Below are 1,652 nucleotides of genomic sequence, written 5' to 3' on the forward strand. Positions count from 1 at the left end.
TTTGCCCAGGTAAGTTTGTGGGAAAGTTGGCTTTAATTGCTGTAGTATCGACCTAGTTGTTACTTGAACACTGAATATTGTTGGAGAAATGATGTATTAAAAAGTAGAAATCAATACACCATATGATAATTGTCAAGTAGATAGTGCCATTAGAGGGACATTGTTTTCTCAAAGAATGGTGTTCCTATTTTGGGTAACTCTTGATAGCAATTAAGGTCCAAACATCTCATGTATTTTAACTTTTTATTTACCTTGATAATGTTCTTTCAAATCCAGTGCAAGTGAAAAGGCAGACCTAAATATTAGGATGTAGAAAACTTGAACACAACTTCACATGGAAATTATTTCTTGCCTGTAGCATTTTGAGGATTTGAAGTCATTTGAATTCTGAATTGACATATTTAAAATAACATTGTGGTTAAGAGTGTTTTTTTTTTTTAAACAGCACTTAACTCACATACTTCTATAATGACAACTAAGTGCGACAAAAACAAGTGTTTGCATTTTAGTTTTAAGGGAGCTGTACTTCGTGATATGAGTTTAGTGAATGTCTCCAGACTCCCCAGAGGAACTAAAAATAGTAGCTCGTCATATCAGTTGACATTTTAATGATACAAAAACATTGGCACCTGATGACTTTATTTTCAAATAAAACTATATTGGGAAATACGGAAAACTTGAATTTTCTAGGTTATAAATTTGCTTTGAGTTTCCTTATATACCTGGGATATGTATTTTAAGGTAACTAAATTTCCCCTATCAAATGGAACCATTTTGGTTCCTGGTTTACAATGGAAGTAGAGTTGACTTATTTAAAACTTAAAAAACAAAGTGTCAAGCTGCCAAAGGCATCTTTAACACACTGGAAAAGAGTAACTGAAATCGGGCAGAACAAGCAATTCCATGGTTCATCAAATCACTAAACTCTCCTACTTTAAGATTTGTAAACAAAATCTATGATGATCAAGATCTCCTTCTTGTAGATGATGCATCGAAGACCACATCTGTTTCTTCAGGATAATTACTGTATTGACACTTAAATCATCTGTTAAAAGCATAAGCTAGTGCCATGAGTTAATTCAAGAAAGTACAAGTTGAGTGCTTACTATATGGCTCAAAGTGTACCAAGTGCTGGGGGGTATATTTAGGGACCAAGACACAGTCATTGCCCTCACAGAGCATGCGGTCTTCTAATGTGTTGGGAGCCAACACTTTTGATTCTAACGTCAGGTTTATCGGGAAGTGACTGTGGGTCGGAGATGGACACATAAAGCTGTCAGGGGGCTAAACAGTTCATAGCTCAAGGGAAAAGGGGGTTTAGACTGTGGTGAACAGAGAAAAACACATACTGCTGCAAAACAGCAAACCAAGACAACACAACAGTTAAACAATGTGCCCTTGGAACAAAGTCAGTGTTTGTTTCTACTTGGTACTCTCTGCTTCAAAAGATCCCTGCAGGCCTCCAAAAGTGGAGGGAGATGGAGAGGCAAGTGGAATGAAATTAGAGTTAGAACCCACTAAAATGTGCACTACCAGGACCCCATCAACTCAAACTGAACTGGATGCTCTATGATCCTGCTCAGTGCAGGCAATCTGGTTTTGACATACGCTCAGGAGGTATTTCGATAATGTGGAGGCCACCCACAGGGAGG

This window comes from Homo sapiens, chromosome 16, assembly GCF_000001405.40.
Source record: "Homo sapiens chromosome 16, GRCh38.p14 Primary Assembly".
Lineage (NCBI taxonomy): Eukaryota > Metazoa > Chordata > Mammalia > Primates > Hominidae > Homo > Homo sapiens.